The sequence below is a fragment of the Homo sapiens genome, chromosome 10 (assembly GCF_000001405.40).
Source record: "Homo sapiens chromosome 10, GRCh38.p14 Primary Assembly".
In the NCBI taxonomy this organism is placed as follows: Eukaryota; Metazoa; Chordata; class Mammalia; order Primates; family Hominidae; genus Homo; species Homo sapiens.
In genome coordinates this window covers 125,766,122-125,783,254 of record NC_000010.11, presented here as the reverse complement: position 1 = coordinate 125,783,254, position 17,133 = coordinate 125,766,122, and the positions used below count along the sequence as shown (strand labels likewise).

Below are 17,133 nucleotides of genomic sequence, written 5' to 3'. Positions count from 1 at the left end.
GTAGCAACACTTTTCTCAGTGGTGAACACATCTGGAGGCAGCAGCTCAAACTCTCTTAACGGATGGGAAACTGATGCTCCGACGACAGGGTAGAGACTCCTCAGCGTCAACCCGCTTTCGGCGGCAGGACAGAAACTGGGCCTGGGCCTGAGATGGTTCCTTCCTACACCCTTCTCCAGGGTACCGTGTCCACCTCTAAGCCTCTGGACCCTCTGACATGTAACCTGTGTCCCCTCCCCAAGCCAGCAGAGAGACCCAGGCGTGGTGCGGTTATGGAAAGAGCTGGTTCTTGTTCTCAGCCTGATGGGTCCCTCAGGGGCGGCGCATGTGTAGCAGCTTTTCAGGAGTATGGGGGGTGACGGGAGCCAGGGGCCACGTGGTGCAGATGGGAGAGAGGCCAGCAGATGGGTCTAGCAGCAGTGGGTTGAGCTTTGCCGTGTAACCTCGGCGACAGGGGCTTTAATCTGCATGGAAAATTCTGCATGCTTCACACTCATGGGGCCTGTCACCAAGCTGACTCACTGAGTTACTTTACTGAGTGTTCAGCGTGTGACTAAATTTCTGGACCTGGGGAGTTCGTAACTTTTTCCTCACCTCTCACCCAAACACCCCCAAGTCCTGTAAAAATTGCATTTCCAGAGACGGAAAGGAGTCCCACGTAACCAGCCAGATCCCATCTCTGAGCCAGGCCAGACCGCTTCCTCTTCCCTCTGCGTCTGGTCTGCTTCTGGGGTCCTCTCTCTCAATGTATTAGGGTTCTCCAGAGAAACAGAACCAATGGGATAGATGGACAGAGAGAGAGAGAGAGACAGACAGACAGACAGACAGACTAGGGGGCACTTAGGGGAATTGGCTCACATAATTCTGGAGGCCGAGGAGGCCAGCATCTGTGGGCCGCAAGCTGGAGACCCAGGAAAGCCAGTGCTTGCAGTTCAGCCTGAGCCTGGAGGCTGAGAGCCGGGGAGCTGGTGGTGTGACTTCCAGTCCGCGTCTGAAGAAGGCCTGGGGAGAAGGCAGTGCGAGAAGGCAGTGCTTCTGTAAGTCCTGGGCTCTGAGGGCCTGGGAACCTGGATAGACAGGATTCAAGGGACAAAGAAGATGAATGTCCCAGCTCAGGAAGTGGGAGGATTTGCCCTTCGTCGGCCTTTTCGTTCTCCTCGAGCCCTCAGTGGACTGGATGACTCCTGCCTGCGGGTGAGGCTGGCTCTTCTTTACTAATTTAAATGCTCATCTCTCGTAGAACACCCTCACAGACACACCCAGGAACAGTGTTTTACCAGGTCTGTGGCCATCCCTTGGCCCCGTCACACTGACATACAGAATTTACCATCGTGCTTGGGAAATCTCAGCTTCTCAACTGGTGTCATTGCTGTTGCCCTGGCAGCTGCCCTGAGAAGAGCTGGGTTTGACCAGCAGACTGCGGGCATCTCCTCATCAGAAGGCCCCACTCTCAGAGCAGAACCAGTTGGGAGCTTTCTGAGGGATACCACCAGCAACGATGAGCATAATTCTCATCCGGAGGCCAGGAGGCCTGGGTGTGCCTTGGCAGAGAAGTGCAGGTGGGTAGTGAGCGGGGCCTCCCTCCCGCAACCACTGAGCAGCCTCCATGTGCATCCTTTGCAGGGAGGAACAAGCCCCAAACGCAGACTCTCATGTGTGTAAAACACAAGCAGTTCTCCCCAGGGAGGCCGAGGGTCCTATGCCGGCCCAGAGATGGGGAAAAGGGTTTATTTGTGGATGAAAAGAGACCAAAATGCAGTCTGGAAAGAAGGGAATCAGGACAGACACTGGGAAGGGTCTTTCTGTCTCAGGCACGCTATGCAGCTGGAAACAACAGGCCTGCCCTGGTGCTGATGGCATCACTCCCCAGCACCTGGGCCCCCTGAGCTCTGCTCACTTTCAGAGTCAGAACTGACCCCTCATTGAACATAAGGCTCAAAGATCTCCTGTGGGAATGACTGTTTCCAAATATTATTGTCCAACTATACTAAGAATATGCAAATCCAGGCTGGGTGCAGTGGCTCATGCCTGTAATCCCAACACTTTGGGAGGCCGAGGTGGGCAGATTGCTTGAGCCCAGGAGTTCAAGACCAGCCTGGACAACATGGCAAAACCATACCTCTACAAAAACATACAAAAATTAGCTGGGCACGGTGGCTCACACCTGTAGTCCCAGCTACTTGCGGGAGGCTGAGGTGGGAAGATCACTTGAGCCAGAGAAGTCACGGCTGCAGTTGAGCTGTGACTGTGCCACTGCTCCTCAGCCTGGGTAACAAAGTGAGACCCTATCTCAAAAAAAAAAAAAAAAAAGCAAATCCACTTTGTAAATGATGAATGTTTTAGGGGAAAAAAACTTCAGTTCTCCCGCTGACAATTAGGTTACGCATGTCATGGCTTACAGAGATTGTAGAAGCTCCAAGCCAAAGCCTTGCCCCGCCTCAGGAACGGGAGGTGGTCTGCACAGACCAGGAACCAGTTTGTGCGGGAGCCCCTGTCCCTCATGTTGTCTTTATTGTAGGTCACGTGTCTTCCTCTGACATTTTCCCTCCTAAATCCAATTGATTTCCTTGAAATCCAATTAACCTGGAGTGAGCAATTTGGTTAATCAAACATTCTCAGCCTTGAGCAGCCAGTACATTCCAAAGCTTAGTAATAATCGGAGAGAAGAATCCTCCAAAAGAAGAGCAAACATCCACATGGTGAACATACTTCCCCAAGTCAAGCACCCAAGCTGCATGAGGCCACCGCACCATAAAGTTTCTTAAAGAATAATAACTTTAGGGAACAAGACCCTTCAGTAATGAAGCCCTCAAGCCTGTGATCTCTGTCTTAGTCCATTTGTGATGCTATACCAAAACACCTGAGACTGGGTCATTTATAAATAATAAAAATTTTCACAGTTCTGGAGGCTGGCAAGTCCAAGAGCAAGACTTGATGTCTGACGAGGGCCTGGTTTCTGTTGCCAGATGGTGCCTTGAACACTGTGTCCTCATATGGCAGACGGGCAAAGGGCTGAATGCTCTCTGAAGCCTGGCTTCTAAGGGCAGGATGGTAGAGCCTTATGATTCAATCACCTCCTCAAGGCCCCACCTCTTAATACGGTTGCACTGGGGATTAAGTTTCAACATGAATTGTGGAGGGAACACAAACGTTTAAGCCACAGTAATCCCAAAGGGGAATCATCTTACCCCACTGGGGAGAGCTGTCATGCAACTTTTCAGATTTGACTTTCAGAAGCACAGTCTTTGACCAGAGCTGGTGGAATGGACAGAACTGCCAGTCTTCAAACAGAACAAGGATCGTGGTGGGTGCCCAAGCTCCTCCTGAGCACCCCTTCCCAGCATCCCAGGTCCCACCTTTCCCCCACAGCATTCGGTGTGGGCCCAATGAGGAATGGATCCCCTGGGTCACAGTGTAGGACTGTGCCTTCCCCGGAAAGCCCGGTGTCCTAGAGCCCAGGAAAGTGTTCTAGGGTGCGGCACAGTCAGAAAAACAGAGAGGAGTTGATGATAGCCAGAGGGTTTCACCCCAGGAGGCACAGCCTACACCAACCTCAGAACTGCACAGAGGTTCTTTAATAAGTAGCCAGTCCTGGCATTGTCCACTCAAAATGTTCCACCTGAACTTACAGTGAACCCAGACTCCTTATTTGCCCTATGGGTCCTTCCCCATCTGACCTTCACCTGCTCCTCTTCATCCTCCCCTCCCAGCTCACTCCTCCCACTCATGTCCAGCCAGGCTGTTCTTTCTTCCCTACTATTGTAGGTTTGCCCAGCCAGTCCCAGCCTCAGGGCCTGTGCACTTGCCCTTTCCTGGCCTAAAATGTACACCACTCCCGAACCCCCAGTCACATGTGACTGAGTCCCTCTGATCTTTCTGCTACTGCCCAGATTTCATCTGCACAAGAGGTCTTTCCTGCTCACCTGAACATTCACTCTTCCCCATAGACACTCACTTTCCCTAATTCTATTCCTAGCACCTGTCACTATTGGAATTTTTCATTTCTTTTTTGTTTATTGTCTGTCTTCCCTACTTAGGATCTACATTCCATGAGGGTAGGTGTGATGGTTAATACTGAGTGTCCACTTGATTCGATTGAAGGATGTAAAGTATTGATCCTGGGTGTGTCTGTGAGGGTGTTGCCAAAGGAGATTAGCATTTGGGTCAGTGGGCTGGGACAGGCAGACCCACCCTTAATCTGGGTGGGCACCATCTAATCAGCTCCTAGAATACAAAGCAGGCAGAAAAACATGAAAAGACTAGACTGGCTTAGCCTCCCAGCCTGCATCTTTCTCCTGTGCTGGATGCTTCCTGCCCTGGAACATCGGACTCCAAGTTCTTCAGCTTTGGGACTCAGACTGGCTTCCTTGCTCCTCAGCTTACAGATGGCCTATTGTGGGACTTTGTGATCGTGTGAGTTAATACTACTTAATATATCTACCCTATTAATTCTGTCCCTCTAGAGAACCCTGACTAATATGGTAGGGAATGAATTCGTCATGTTCATTTCTGTATTCCCTGTCGCTAGGACAGTAATAAATATTTGCTGCATGATGACTGAATGAATAACTAACGGATAGCCCCACACAGGCCTGTGCACACCTGCTCTTCTTGGAGACCTTTGACATAAAATTCTCAGTTCTCATCTGCAAAATCACAGTGCCCAAAGAACTTTAATTCATTTCCTGCAAGCCCTCTGGATACTGGGGTAGAAATTCCTGCAGCGAACCTGAACCTCTACTTACTTTTTCCTTCTCATACTCTGCCCTTCCCCTGCCCCGAGAGTCAGCACCTCAGGGCTGTGTGTGACCCACCAAGAAGAGAGGAGGAAAGGAAACACTCAGGAAAGTGGGAGATGCGGGGGTTGCTGTGCAGTGCAGGAGCCCACGGGGAAGGGGCTGTAGTCATGAGTTTAAAGGAAATGGATGAGCAAATGGATGAGCAAATGAGTGCTCAGCAAGATGGAGGAAACAGAAAGCCAGATCCGCCCAGGGTGCGGCCCCCAGTGCAGGGGTGGTAGGAGGCTCTCAGGCAAGGGCTTGGTCGGCATCTGTGGGATCTGAGCTGGACAGGGTAAAAACCAAGGATCCAAGACAACTTAGGTGGGTGAGGCAGAAGGACCCTCAGGACCCTCAGTGCAGTTGGGGGTCAGAGGGCCAGTGATAGGGACAAGAGGGTGAGAAGCTCCGAGGAGAGCCAGCGGTGGGCATCAGGGGCTGCCTATGCCTGTGGGATCAGAGGCGCAGCAGTGCAGGGGGTGCCAGGGCTGGGCCAGGCGAGGCCAGGCCACGGGTGACTCGAGTGGAGTGGAGGTGAGAATCTTCAGATCACAGTCACGGAGAGGGAGGTCAGAGCAATGCACCAGTCATTCACAGGGATGCCAGGGTCCAGGACAATGGAAGGACATGGAATACAGGAGAACCCTGCAAGAAAAGGGGCGAATGCGTCTTGGGGAGAGGACAGCTACTAGGAAGGCTGGAAGTGACCCAGAAAACTGTCATGAGGCTCACAGGAGCAGGGCACTTCCCTGAGTGGAGGCAGCCATCAGGGACAGGAAAACCCATCCTGCTCTTTGACCTGTGCAGCCTTCACCAGGGAGGAAAGGGCAAGCTGTAGTCTCTACTGGAGACAGGTGTTAGGGAATGAGGAGCATGTTACAGGTCCTTCTGGGGACAGACTAAGCATTTAGTGGCCTGTATTAGGGTTGTCTAACTGCTGCACCCACCAACCCCAAATCTTAGGCTCCACGCAATACAGTTGTGTTTCTTGCTCCTGTCACAGAGCAGTCAAGGGTTTGAGGGTGGCCTTCCACAGGGGGATTCAGGGATCCAAGCCACTTCTGCTGGAGGCTCTGCGTCTGGTCAGGAGTTGAGGGAAGAGAAATCACAGAGAATAGGAGGGTGGTCTTAGAGTTCAGGCCTGCAAGTGGCACACATCACTCTATCCACTTTTTTTTTCCTTTTGAAACAGGGTCTCATTCTGTCATCCAAGTTGTTGTGCAGTGACGTGATCTCGGCTCATTTCAGTCTTAACCTCCTGGACACAAGTGATCCTCCAGCCTCAGCTCCCCTAAGTAGCTGGAACTATTGGCACGCATGCCACTACACCTGGCTAATTTTTGTATTTTTAGTAGAGATGGGGTTTCATCATGTTGCCCAGGCTGGTCTTGAACTCTTGCTGGTCTTGAACTCCTGGATTCAAGCAATCCACCCACCTTGGTTTCCTAAAGTGTTGGGATTATAGGTGTGAGCCACCACGCCCGGCCGATGCCAAGCTAATTTTTAAACATTTTTTGATAGAAATGAGGTCTCATTTTGTTGCCCTTGCTTGTCTCAAACTCCTGGCCTCAGTCCTCCTGCCTCAGCCTCCCGCAACGCTGGGATTATGGGTCTGAGCCACTGCACCTGGCCTCTCCGTATTTCTATGATTCTCAATATTCCCATGGACGGCTGTGACCCAGTCAGTCTGCACTCTCAGGAGGACATCTGCTCAGATAAAAGCCCAGTTCAGGGGCTCTGTCTTCAGGATCCCAAAGAAACTTGAGGCTTCTCCATGAGGGGAAAAAGTAGTGGGCTGAGGTGATTCTAGTTTATCCTTCTATAAAAATCTTTACCCACAGAATGGGACGCTGTGCAGTCATTAACTAGAACGATAAATACTTACATTCAGAAACAGAAAAGTGCCTGTAACGTTGTGCTGGCTTGTAAGAACAGAGAATAGAGTTCATGTAAAATGAGAGACACACACAAATACTTCTCTAGGCATCTGTGCATATGTATCTGCAAGAATGTTCACTGAAATGTCACCACCGGAATCACAGAATGTCTCCTTCATTCTCAGTACTTTTACAATTTATACTATCTGCTCAGAAGATCTCCTTTATATAAAGATAAACAAAAAGAAGAAAAGCCACACAAAAAATGTGTGAGAAACAAACTAAAAATCTCCAAACCCCAGTTCACCAAGAAAAAAAAAGTGACCCAAACTGTAAGCAAACTAACGGTCAGGGTTTTTAAACTCAGGCTCAGCTCTGAGAGGCATGTTGTTAGGGGCGCAGTCTCGTGCCTCTGTTAATTCCACAGCTCATTTAGCGGCAAACTTGCCCGCAGTATATCTCCATAGAAATGGAACCCACAGGCACTGGCAACTGGAGGATGTAATTATCGGAGGACATGGCAAACTCTGGAGGCTGAGAGAAGGAGTTCTCACACCAACAAGAAAGGTGAGCCTGGGGTCTTCAAAGGCAGCACGCCCAGGGCCTGCCACGTGGCCTCCTAGCGGGCACACTTCAGGGCTGGGTGAGAAATGCTTGGAAACCTGGGTGCTCCCTCCTGCGTAGCTTATAAAAGCCACCCTAGGTCCTGCTCCTTAAGGAGAGGTGACGGGGACGGGGAAGAAGCCAGGCAGGGAGGGCAAGGGTTCAGACCAGGCCAATGCTCGCCGCCTCCATCTTCCGTCCGACACTGCTGCTCTGCTGGCTGGCTGCTCCCTGGCCCACCCAGCCCGAGAGTCTCTTCCACAGCCGGGACCGCTCGGACCTGGAGCCGTCCCCACTGCGCCAGGCCAAGCCCATTGCCGACCTCCACGCTGCTCAGGTAGGAGGAAGCTGGAAGAACAGCAATACCCCCAGGCCCGTGCACGTGCACACAGGCACATGCGCACGCGCGCACAGGCACAGGCCAGGATGCCGGCTGTGCAGAGGCAGAGAAGGGCCAGGCAGGCTGGGCTGAGAGGGAGGAGTGGCTCCTGTGGCTCCTATTGGAACAACCATGAATCGATGCTTAACCTGATTCGACAATCCCACAGGTCAGCCCTAGTGAGAAAGAAATGTCAGTGCGCAGACAACAGACTCAAATGCCAAGTGCCTTTCCAAAGGCAAGCATGTGATACTGTAGTGGCCAAGGCACTGTCCGAAGGCATTCTGTGGCTGCTCACCATGCCAATCTCTGGATGTAGAGAAGGGGACAGCCCTGCAAGGTTCCCCAACACCGCAATAGTAAGGATCCTAACAGCTGTCTGGGGTGGCATCCGTGGACTTCACCGGAGTCTGTGGTGAAGCACCCAGGAGGTCCAATGCAGGCGATCCCCTCCTCCAGAGAGTCGTGGTGGCGGGCAGGGAGTGGACCCATGAGGCCCCTTCACCTGCTCTGGCACGTGGTCCTTTGGTCACCATAGGCCAGGAGCTGATGCTCAGGGTCAAGTCCAATCCCCAGCTCCCACAGTGCCCCAGAGGCCAGGGCAGGGAGCAGGAGAGCCGCCCTGTGGCCAGGCCCGCAGCCGCGTGGAGGCCGCTGACCTCCCTCCCGCTGTGCGGCCATGAGGAAGCCCCCCAGGTCCTCAGACCCAACCACTGCCAAGCCCCTCAGTTCCAATTCCCAGCTCTCAGGACGTGCCTCCCATGGCTTTCTCTGCGGTGTGGCCACGCCCGGACTTCCTTGGCACCCCCCACCTGCCCCGCACGACCTGCCCTGCGCGACCTGCCCCGCAAGGCCGGGGGGAGCGTCTTCCTCCCCCGCGACCTCTTACCTCCTCCCGGCACTCGCCCACCCCGCTGCCCAGGTCTCCTGCTCCTCCGGCCCTAGGGCGCCTCTGACTCAGCCTGGTGCCCATCCAGGGCCCGCACTCAGGAAGGCGCCCAGGACTCGCTCCTTCTCTCCTGTCTACCTCTCTCCTGTCTCTGTCTCTCACTGCCGCTCTCTCTGTATCTCTATCTCTCTCTGTCTTCCTGTTTCTATTGCTATCTCCATCTGTTTCTCCCTGTCTGTCTCTCTGCTTCTCTCTGTCTCTGTCTCTATCCCCATGTCTCTGTCTCTCTAGACTTTGGGGCAGGGCAGCCCGGGAGGGCCCCGAGCGAGGCGGCCCAGATTAGGGTGCCTTTCTCTCCCACAGCGGTTCCTGTCCAGATACGGCTGGTCAGGGGTGTGGGCGGCCTGGGGGCCCAGTCCCGAGGGGCCGCCGGAGACCCCCAAGGGCGCCGCCCTGGCCGAGGCGGTGCGCAGGTTCCAGCGGGCGAACGCGCTGCCGGCCAGCGGGGAGCTGGACGCGGCCACCCTAGCGGCCATGAACCGGCCGCGCTGCGGGGTCCCGGACATGCGCCCACCGCCCCCCTCCGCCCCGCCTTCGCCCCCGGGCCCGCCCCCCAGAGCCCGCTCCAGGCGCTCCCCGCGGGCGCCGCTGTCCTTGTCCCGGCGGGGTTGGCAGCCCCGGGGCTACCCCGACGGCGGAGCTGCCCAGGCCTTCTCCAAGAGGACGCTGAGCTGGCGGCTGCTGGGCGAGGCCCTGAGCAGCCAACTGTCCGTGGCCGACCAGCGGCGCATTGTGGCGCTGGCCTTCAGGATGTGGAGCGAGGTGACGCCGCTGGACTTCCGCGAGGACCTGGCCGCCCCCGGGGCCGCGGTCGACATCAAGCTGGGCTTTGGGAGAGGTAAGAGCACCCCGGGCTCCCTGCCTGCCCGACCCAGCCCCTCGGGGACCCCGGCGCACCTACCCCCACCTCGGCCACCTGCAGAATGGGGGGCTAAGCCCTCCCGGCCTGTCCCGGGGGCACCTGTCAGCGGGGCAGGCAGAAGCCACCGGTCAGCGTCGTCTTGTCGGAATCATGGTCACCCTGCAGATAGCCTGGTGTGGCCTACTGGGACACTAGGGCCGGCCCTGGGCACAGGCTGCTGCCCGGGCTGCTCCTCAAAGTCCCACTCGGGCCCCCTGCCTGTGCCTCCAGCTTCCCTAGGGAGCAGCAGCTGGGGTCTCAGGACAGGGCAGGGTCAGGCACAAGTTGCCACCACCTCCGTCTTACAATTGGACAAATGCGGGACAAAATACCTTGGACGTCTAGCAACAGAAGTGTTTTTAAGGGGCAGACCAAGCAGAAGAGGATCACTGCCACCTGAAATTGGGTGCTGGCGTCCCCAGGAATCCGGTCTTGGCCTAGACTCAAGGATGGGTGGGATCTGGGATACCCACAAAAAGGCACCCAGAATGGAGAGTGGGTGAGGGCATGGAAGTGGTCAGAGACAAGCAGCAAGCAGACAAGCCGCTTTGCAGCCCCATCTGTGACCCGGGGGTGCTCAGGGCTGTCTTCTGGTCTCACTGGGTTAATGTCCCAGGGTGAGAAGTATAGGGACACGGTTGGCTGAAAAAGACAAATTTTAAGGGACCCAGCTTTCAATATTTCACGACCTCCGCAGAGGCGAGGATCCGGCCCCGATCTTGTCCGGGTGAGGCCTTTTTGCCATCTTCCCAGGCCCCCAGCCGGGCTCTCACCCAGCCCCGCTCCCCTCTGCTCCCAGGCACTTGGTGCCTGCTGGTCTCTGACAGTCTGTGGACTGTAAACACAGTTTACAAACAAACCGTCTCCCACCCTCCGCACATTGAGGACTTAATCCAGGAGCTGCCACTCTGTCTACCTCTGCTGCCGGCTCCTGGAGGCTGGGGACCCCCTAGGTGAGGAGTCTGTATGGGGGGCACTCATCCTTCACCGGGACCAACTCCTCCTCCCCCTCGCCAGGCCGGCACCTGGGCTGTCCGCGGGCCTTCGATGGGAGCGGGCAGGAGTTTGCACACGCCTGGCGCCTAGGTGACATTCACTTTGACGACGACGAGCACTTCACACCTCCCACCAGTGACACGGGCATCAGCCTTCTCAAGGTCAGTGGTCCTGAGCCACTGTGTTGATAAGACACCAGCAGTGCTCATGGGCTGACGTCCAAAAAGTCCAAGCTTTTCTCATGTAGTGTCCGCAACCTCTGAGGAGGTGAATCCGTGGAATGGCTCCCCAGTTCCACCGGTGCTCCCCTCTTCACAAGCAACGCTCCTCTCGAAGCACAGGCCTGCGTCTGTTATGCAGGGATCCATCGCCCAGGCTTCACCCAGCACCCATGGTGTGTGTCCCCTTCTAGGTGGCCGTCCATGAAATTGGCCATGTCCTGGGCTTGCCTCACACCTACAGGACGGGATCCATAATGCAACCAAATTACATTCCCCAGGAGCCTGCCTTTGAGTTGGACTGGTCAGACAGGAAAGCAATTCAAAAGCTGTATGGTAAGACTGCTGCGGAGGGCATCCCTGAGCTAGCGGAGGACACTGTATTCCAGAGCACTGTAGGACCCCGCTCACTCCTCACTGGGAAACTGGGCCTAAGAGCGCAACGTTGTACAACTCATGTCACCCAAGGGTAGCCACCCTCTAGCTCCCTGATGCCATTCTCTCAGTTAAAAAGTGGTTTTGCCCAGTCGACAGCCAGTCCCTCCTGTGTCCTCTCTCACCACATGCATTTCCCAGGAGGACAGTGAATGCGGGGTGGTTTTCTCAACACAAGCGGGCCCCCAACCCGTGCTGTGGCATCCCACCAGAGACGCACACACTGGAAGCCCTGGGAGTTTACTGCAATCCCAAAAAACTGAGCTTAGCCTGGCCAGGATAAGCTCCAATCTCTATTTAGAATCGTTCAGGCCAAACGTTCTAGTGGTTGATTATTTAATTAAAGTGGTTAGTGATTTAGTACCGAGGCCCAAGGGAAGAAAGCTGTCCTCCTCTTTTCCATTCAAAGGTCCCTAGGCCGGGCACAGTGGCTCATGCCTGCAATCCCAGCACTTTGGGAGGCCAAGGTGGGCGGATTCTTGATGTCAGAAGTTCGAGACCAGCCTGGCCAACATGTTGAAACCCTTTCTCTACCATAAATACAAAAATTAGCCGGACATGGTGGCACACGCCTGTAATCCCAGCTACTTGGGAGGCTGAGGCAGGAGAATTGCTTGAACCCATGAGGTGGAGGTTGCAGTGAGCCAAGATTGCACCACTGCACTCCAGCCTGGGTGACAGAGCGAGACTCCATCTCAAAAAAAAAAAAAAATAGTCCCTAACAGAGACCACCCCATTTCTGTTCTCACATCCCCCCATTCTCAGCACTCTGTGTCTTTGGAGACAACAACAGCCAGGACACACGGACTTGCCCCAGTGGAAATCTTACTCTTACATGAGCCCAGAATCAAACTTCTTCCCTCTAATGAAGTCAAACTGCCATCAAGGTGTCAAGGGAGGCATTCAGTAGCTATATTTAGGGTGGTCAACCGTACATAACTTCACAACCAAACTGAGATGCTTCTGAGAGTGGCCTGGGGCACTGTGAAGAATGAAGCCAGGATGTGCCTGTGAACCAGGACTGTAGCAGGCAGCCTGGCACCTCCAGCTCCCTCTGCGCACCACCTCAATCTGTTTTTTTTTCTTTTCAAGATAGGGTCTCACTCTATCGCCCAAGCTGGAGTGTAGTGGACTGATCTCAGCTCACTGCAGCCTCAACTTCTCAGGCTCAAGCAATCCTCCCACCTCAGCTTCCCAAGTAACCTGTGCCAAGGGACCACAGGCACGTGCCACCATGCCCGGCTACTTTTTGTATTTTTTTTTTTTTTTGTAGACACTGGGTTTCACCATGTTGCCCAGGCTGGTCTTGAACTCAAGCAATCCTCCTGTCTCGGTCTCCCAAGGTGCTGGGATTACAGGCATGCGCCACTGCACCTGGCCCCACTTCAGCCTTACATGGTGTCTTGCTTTAAGGTGTTTTTATAGAAAGCCCCAGCTTTGCAACTGTCTTCATTCAAGTCACATATGAAAATATAAGTTTTGCACCATGTATGTGACAAGTGGCTGTTTTTTGTTTGTTTTTTTAAGGCTCCTGTGAGGGATCATTTGATACTGCGTTTGACTGGATTCGCAAAGAGAGAAACCAATATGGAGAGGTGATGGTGAGATTTAGCACATATTTCTTCCGTAACAGCTGGTACTGGCTTTATGAAAATCGAAACAATAGGACACGCTATGGGGACCCTATCCAAATCCTCACTGGCTGGCCTGGAATCCCAACACACAACATAGATGCCTTTGTTCACATCTGGACATGGAAAAGAGATGAACGTTATTTTTTTCAAGGTACAGATTCTTCATGGATGGTTCTATTTCTCTCATTAAACGAATGCACTCAGAAGGAATGTCTTGAGCCCCTACCAAGGAATCTGTTGTAATGCTCTTGTCATTACTTGCTTAATTTCTGTCTGCTCCATCAGACTGGAAGCTCTGAGGGCACAAGGATTGGGTTGTATTCCATTTTTTTTGTTTCTGAGACAGAGTTTCACTGTTACCCAGGCTGGAGTGCACAATCACGGCTCACTACAGCCTTGACCTCCCGGGCTCAAGTGCTGTTCCCACCTCAGCCTCCTGAGTAGCTGGGACCACAGGCACGCACCACTACACCTGGCTTAATTAAAACAATTTTTTTTTTTTAGAGATGGGGTCTCACTATGTTGCCCAGGCTAGTCTTGAACTCCTGGCTTCAAGCCGCTTTCCCACCTTGGCCTCTCAAAGTGTTGGGATTACAGGTGTGAACCACTGCACCCAGGCCCTGATCTTTTTAAGACGGCACTAAGTCACCGAATGAGTGAATGAACTTTCCTAGGTACTAAGGTGGCTGCCAAAAAACTGTAAGAAAGGGCCCTGCCCTGCAGGAGTTTTAATCTGGTTCTGGAGGGAAAAAAAAATACCTTGGACATCTAGCAACAGAAGTGTTTTTAAGGGGCAGACCGAGCAGAAGAGGTGATCACTGCTACCTGGAATTGGGTGCTGGCGCCCCCAGGAATCAGGTCGTGGCCTAGACTCAAGGATGGGTGGGATCTGGGATGCCCAGAAAAAGGCACCCAGAATGGAGAGTGGATGAGGGCATGGAAGTGGTCAGAGACGAGCAGCAGAAGCGAAGCCGTGGGGTTGGGAGTGAAAAAGCCACAGAGCTGTGAGACTGGGGTCCATCAAAGCTGGTGACAGACTTACCCGGGATGAGGTCAGGCTAGAAAGGCGGGTTGGCCCAACCACGGAGGGCCTCGAATGCCAGGGTCGGGGCTGGACTTCACTGAGCAGGCCACGAGCCATCAATGGCAATTGCTCAACATGGAAGGTCAGTGTTTTGCTGGAAGACAGAGACTGATGTGATGGAGCCTGGGGGGTCATGGGGAACACACCAAGAAAGGCAGGTCTGGGACTCTTACTGCCGCTGCTCCTTATTCACACCCGGTCTCATCCAGTACCCTGGACCCGGTGCACGAGGCACGCTGCCTTTGCAAAACCAGACAGCACAGAGTCCGATCATAAACATGATTTTGGGGTCACTGCTTTTTCCTTCCCCTTTCCTACCCAGAGACAAGTTGTGTAGCCCCTCTGCCTGAATCCTGGTAATATAACCATAGGGCTTTAAATTGCTCAAAAAGACTTAACAAGGTGAGAGCCAAACTGAATGAACTTTATATGCAAATTTTACCATAAGGATCCTGTATATAAATCTGGTCTCAGTTTTCCTTCATATCACACAAAGGAAGAATTATTTCAGTTACATAAAAAAACTGACTTACAGCTGACTTTTATAGTTCAGGTCTTTCAGAGTTGGAAGCACATCTTTCAGGGTTTTAAGAAGTCCCAGACTAGAATTTATGTTGGCAACACTCAAAGAATCATAATTATAGATTTAGGTCATCATAGGGTAACTGCTACAATACAGCTGTATTTTATTCTTGGAGCTTTAAAAACATCTTAATTTGCTATGAATATTTTGGATTAAAAGAAATTCCTGTTAGAGTGAACTGCATCTCTAACTGGATGAACGTCACACTGTTAATGGTGAAATTTTCCAAGTATATTAAATATTTGGTTGCTAAGGAACGTACTGCTTGGGGTGTTCTGTGAACTGTGAACACCAAAGCATCTAAGTGGATCTAGTCTATTCTGTTGGCAAGATGCCAAATATCCAGGATTAGGAACTAACAAGAAGCAGCTAAAATAAGCTTCTACTGATTTAGAGCACGAAATGAGCATCTGAACTCTGAAACAAAATGGAGCAAAGTTCCATTTCACAGGACAGTGGGGAGCCTCTCTGGAGTGGCATTTGAGAGTCCTGGCTTGCATTCCTGGCTCAGCCTAGGCTGTCTGAATGTGGACCAGTCACTTCAGCTCTCTACTCCAGTGTCCTTATTTGTAAGATGGGCGTGGTGGTGGGACTAGGGGACTCTAAAACACTCAAGGTATAATCCACTGATAAGGATCATGATTTCTTCAGTAAAAAAAGAACTTAGATTGATTAGGATACGAAAGTGATTCCAAGCCTTGGGCCACTAACATTAAAAGGAACATCTTTAGACTATAAAGGAAGAAGAAAAAAACATTAAGATACTAAGGTAAAAATGACATGATTTTTGCTGTTTTGTTTTTGCTTTTGATGAGAGCCGGGAGGATGATGTTCATGGGGCAGGGTTTGCTTTGGTGTGAAAGGCAACCAGCATTCCAACTGCAGCAGTGACGGCCAAGAAAAATGCACTTCCTGGGTTAAATGTAAGAGTAATTCAAGACGCGGGGAAATGGCGGAGTGGAGGCTTCACTCAGATGCCGAAAGCCCCGTTTTCTCCTAGAATCATGGCAACACATTGTACAGGATTGGCTGAGACCTAGATTGAAAACTGTCCTTTTTGTCACGTGATTTAATAGTAATAAACCACATGAACGTATTTTGTTTGGCTCTCAGGAAATCAATACTGGAGATATGACAGTGACAAGGATCAGGCCCTCACAGAAGATGAACAAGGAAAAAGCTATCCCAAATTGATTTCAGAAGGATTTCCTGGCATCCCAAGTCCCCTAGACACGGCGTTTTATGACCGAAGACAGAAGTTAATTTACTTCTTCAAGGAGTCCCTTGTAAGTAGAAGGCTCTTCAGCCTAGCAATGCTTCTGTCATCCCTAATAGAGATTCGTCAGATGACCAAGTTCATATTTAAAAGCTGTACTTGGCCTGCCACAGTGGCGCATGCCTGTAATCCCGCACTTTGGGAGGCCAAGGTGGGCGGATCGCTTAAGCCCAGGAGTTTGAGACCAGTCTGGGCAACATGGTGAAACCCATGTTTCGGTCTCAACAAAAAATACAGAAATTATCCAGGTGTGGTGGCACGTGCCTGTGTTCCCAGCTGCCTAGGAGGCTAAGGCAAGAGGATCACTTGAGCCTGGGAGGTTGAGGCTGCAGTGAGCTGTGATTGCACCACTTGCACTCCAGTCCAGCCTGGGCAAGAGTGAGACCGGGCCCAAAAAAAAAACAAAAAACGTGTACTCACTTCAGATCTAAATAGCAATGGCAGAGCATGATGGAAAATTAAGAAGTTCAAGTCTAAAGAATTTGGTACAAAGTCTTGAGTTACTTATCTCATTGTTATAAATTAACCAAAAAATATTAATAATTTTCAGAAGAGCCAGTCTATCTTATTTGCTTTGCAGGTATTTGCATTTGATGTCAACAGAAATCGAGTACTTAATTCTTATCCAAAGAGGATTACTGAAGTTTTTCCAGCAGTAATACCACAAAATCATCCTTTCAGAAATATAGATTCCGCTTATTACTCCTATGCATACAACTCCATTTTCTTTTTCAAAGGCAATGCATACTGGAAGGTAGTTAATGACAAGGACAAACAACAGAATTCCTGGCTTCCTGCTAATGGCTTATTTCCAAAAAAGTTTATTTCAGAGAAGTGGTTTGATGTTTGTGACGTCCATATCTCCACACTGAACATGTAATAAGAAAAAGTAGGAAATGGAGGGTCATAGGACTTCGCTAAAATTCTGATACTGTTTACAAAGAAAACCGGATTTTCAGTAGCTGAAGAAAATATGGCACTGTAAGTTAAAACCCAATGGGAAAAGCCTTAGTTGAACTTTTAAAATACTTGATTTAAAAACAATTGCTCAGGCAAAACATAATTCATAAACTAAAAGGTTTAAAAAAACAAAAAAACAAAAACTAAGCATCCAATGATCTTTGCCTGCTTTCTACTCTGTGGGGCTCTGCCCATCCCAACTGCTTGGCCACCTGATGGGAGTTGGAAGGGCGGCCAGAGCCCTGGGTCAAGCTGTCAAGGAAGGAGATGCCACAGAGATGATTTTACTGAGGGATTTAATGGGAAAGTCACAGGATTCAAATAAATTGCCCTCCACAGTCCCTGTCAGAATGACATTTCTCTAAACACAGTGTACAAAAGGTTTTCATGTGTATTTCTCTCTTGATCTTCACAACTCTGTCAGCGTGGCAGGATGGATACTACTGTACACATTTCCAGT

General features: G+C 51.6%; 1 protein-coding gene across 1 annotated transcript; it reads left to right on the top strand.

Annotated features, from left to right (window-relative positions):
• Nucleotides 7,434-16,802, top strand: MMP21 (matrix metallopeptidase 21). The gene is made up of 7 exons (NM_147191.1): nucleotides 7,434-7,595; nucleotides 8,890-9,424; nucleotides 10,505-10,644; nucleotides 10,896-11,037; nucleotides 12,664-12,921; nucleotides 15,551-15,723; nucleotides 16,294-16,802. Exons 1-7 carry the CDS (start codon nucleotides 7,434-7,436, stop codon nucleotides 16,591-16,593), a joined length of 1,710 nt encoding a protein of 569 aa, NP_671724.1. The 3' UTR covers nucleotides 16,594-16,802.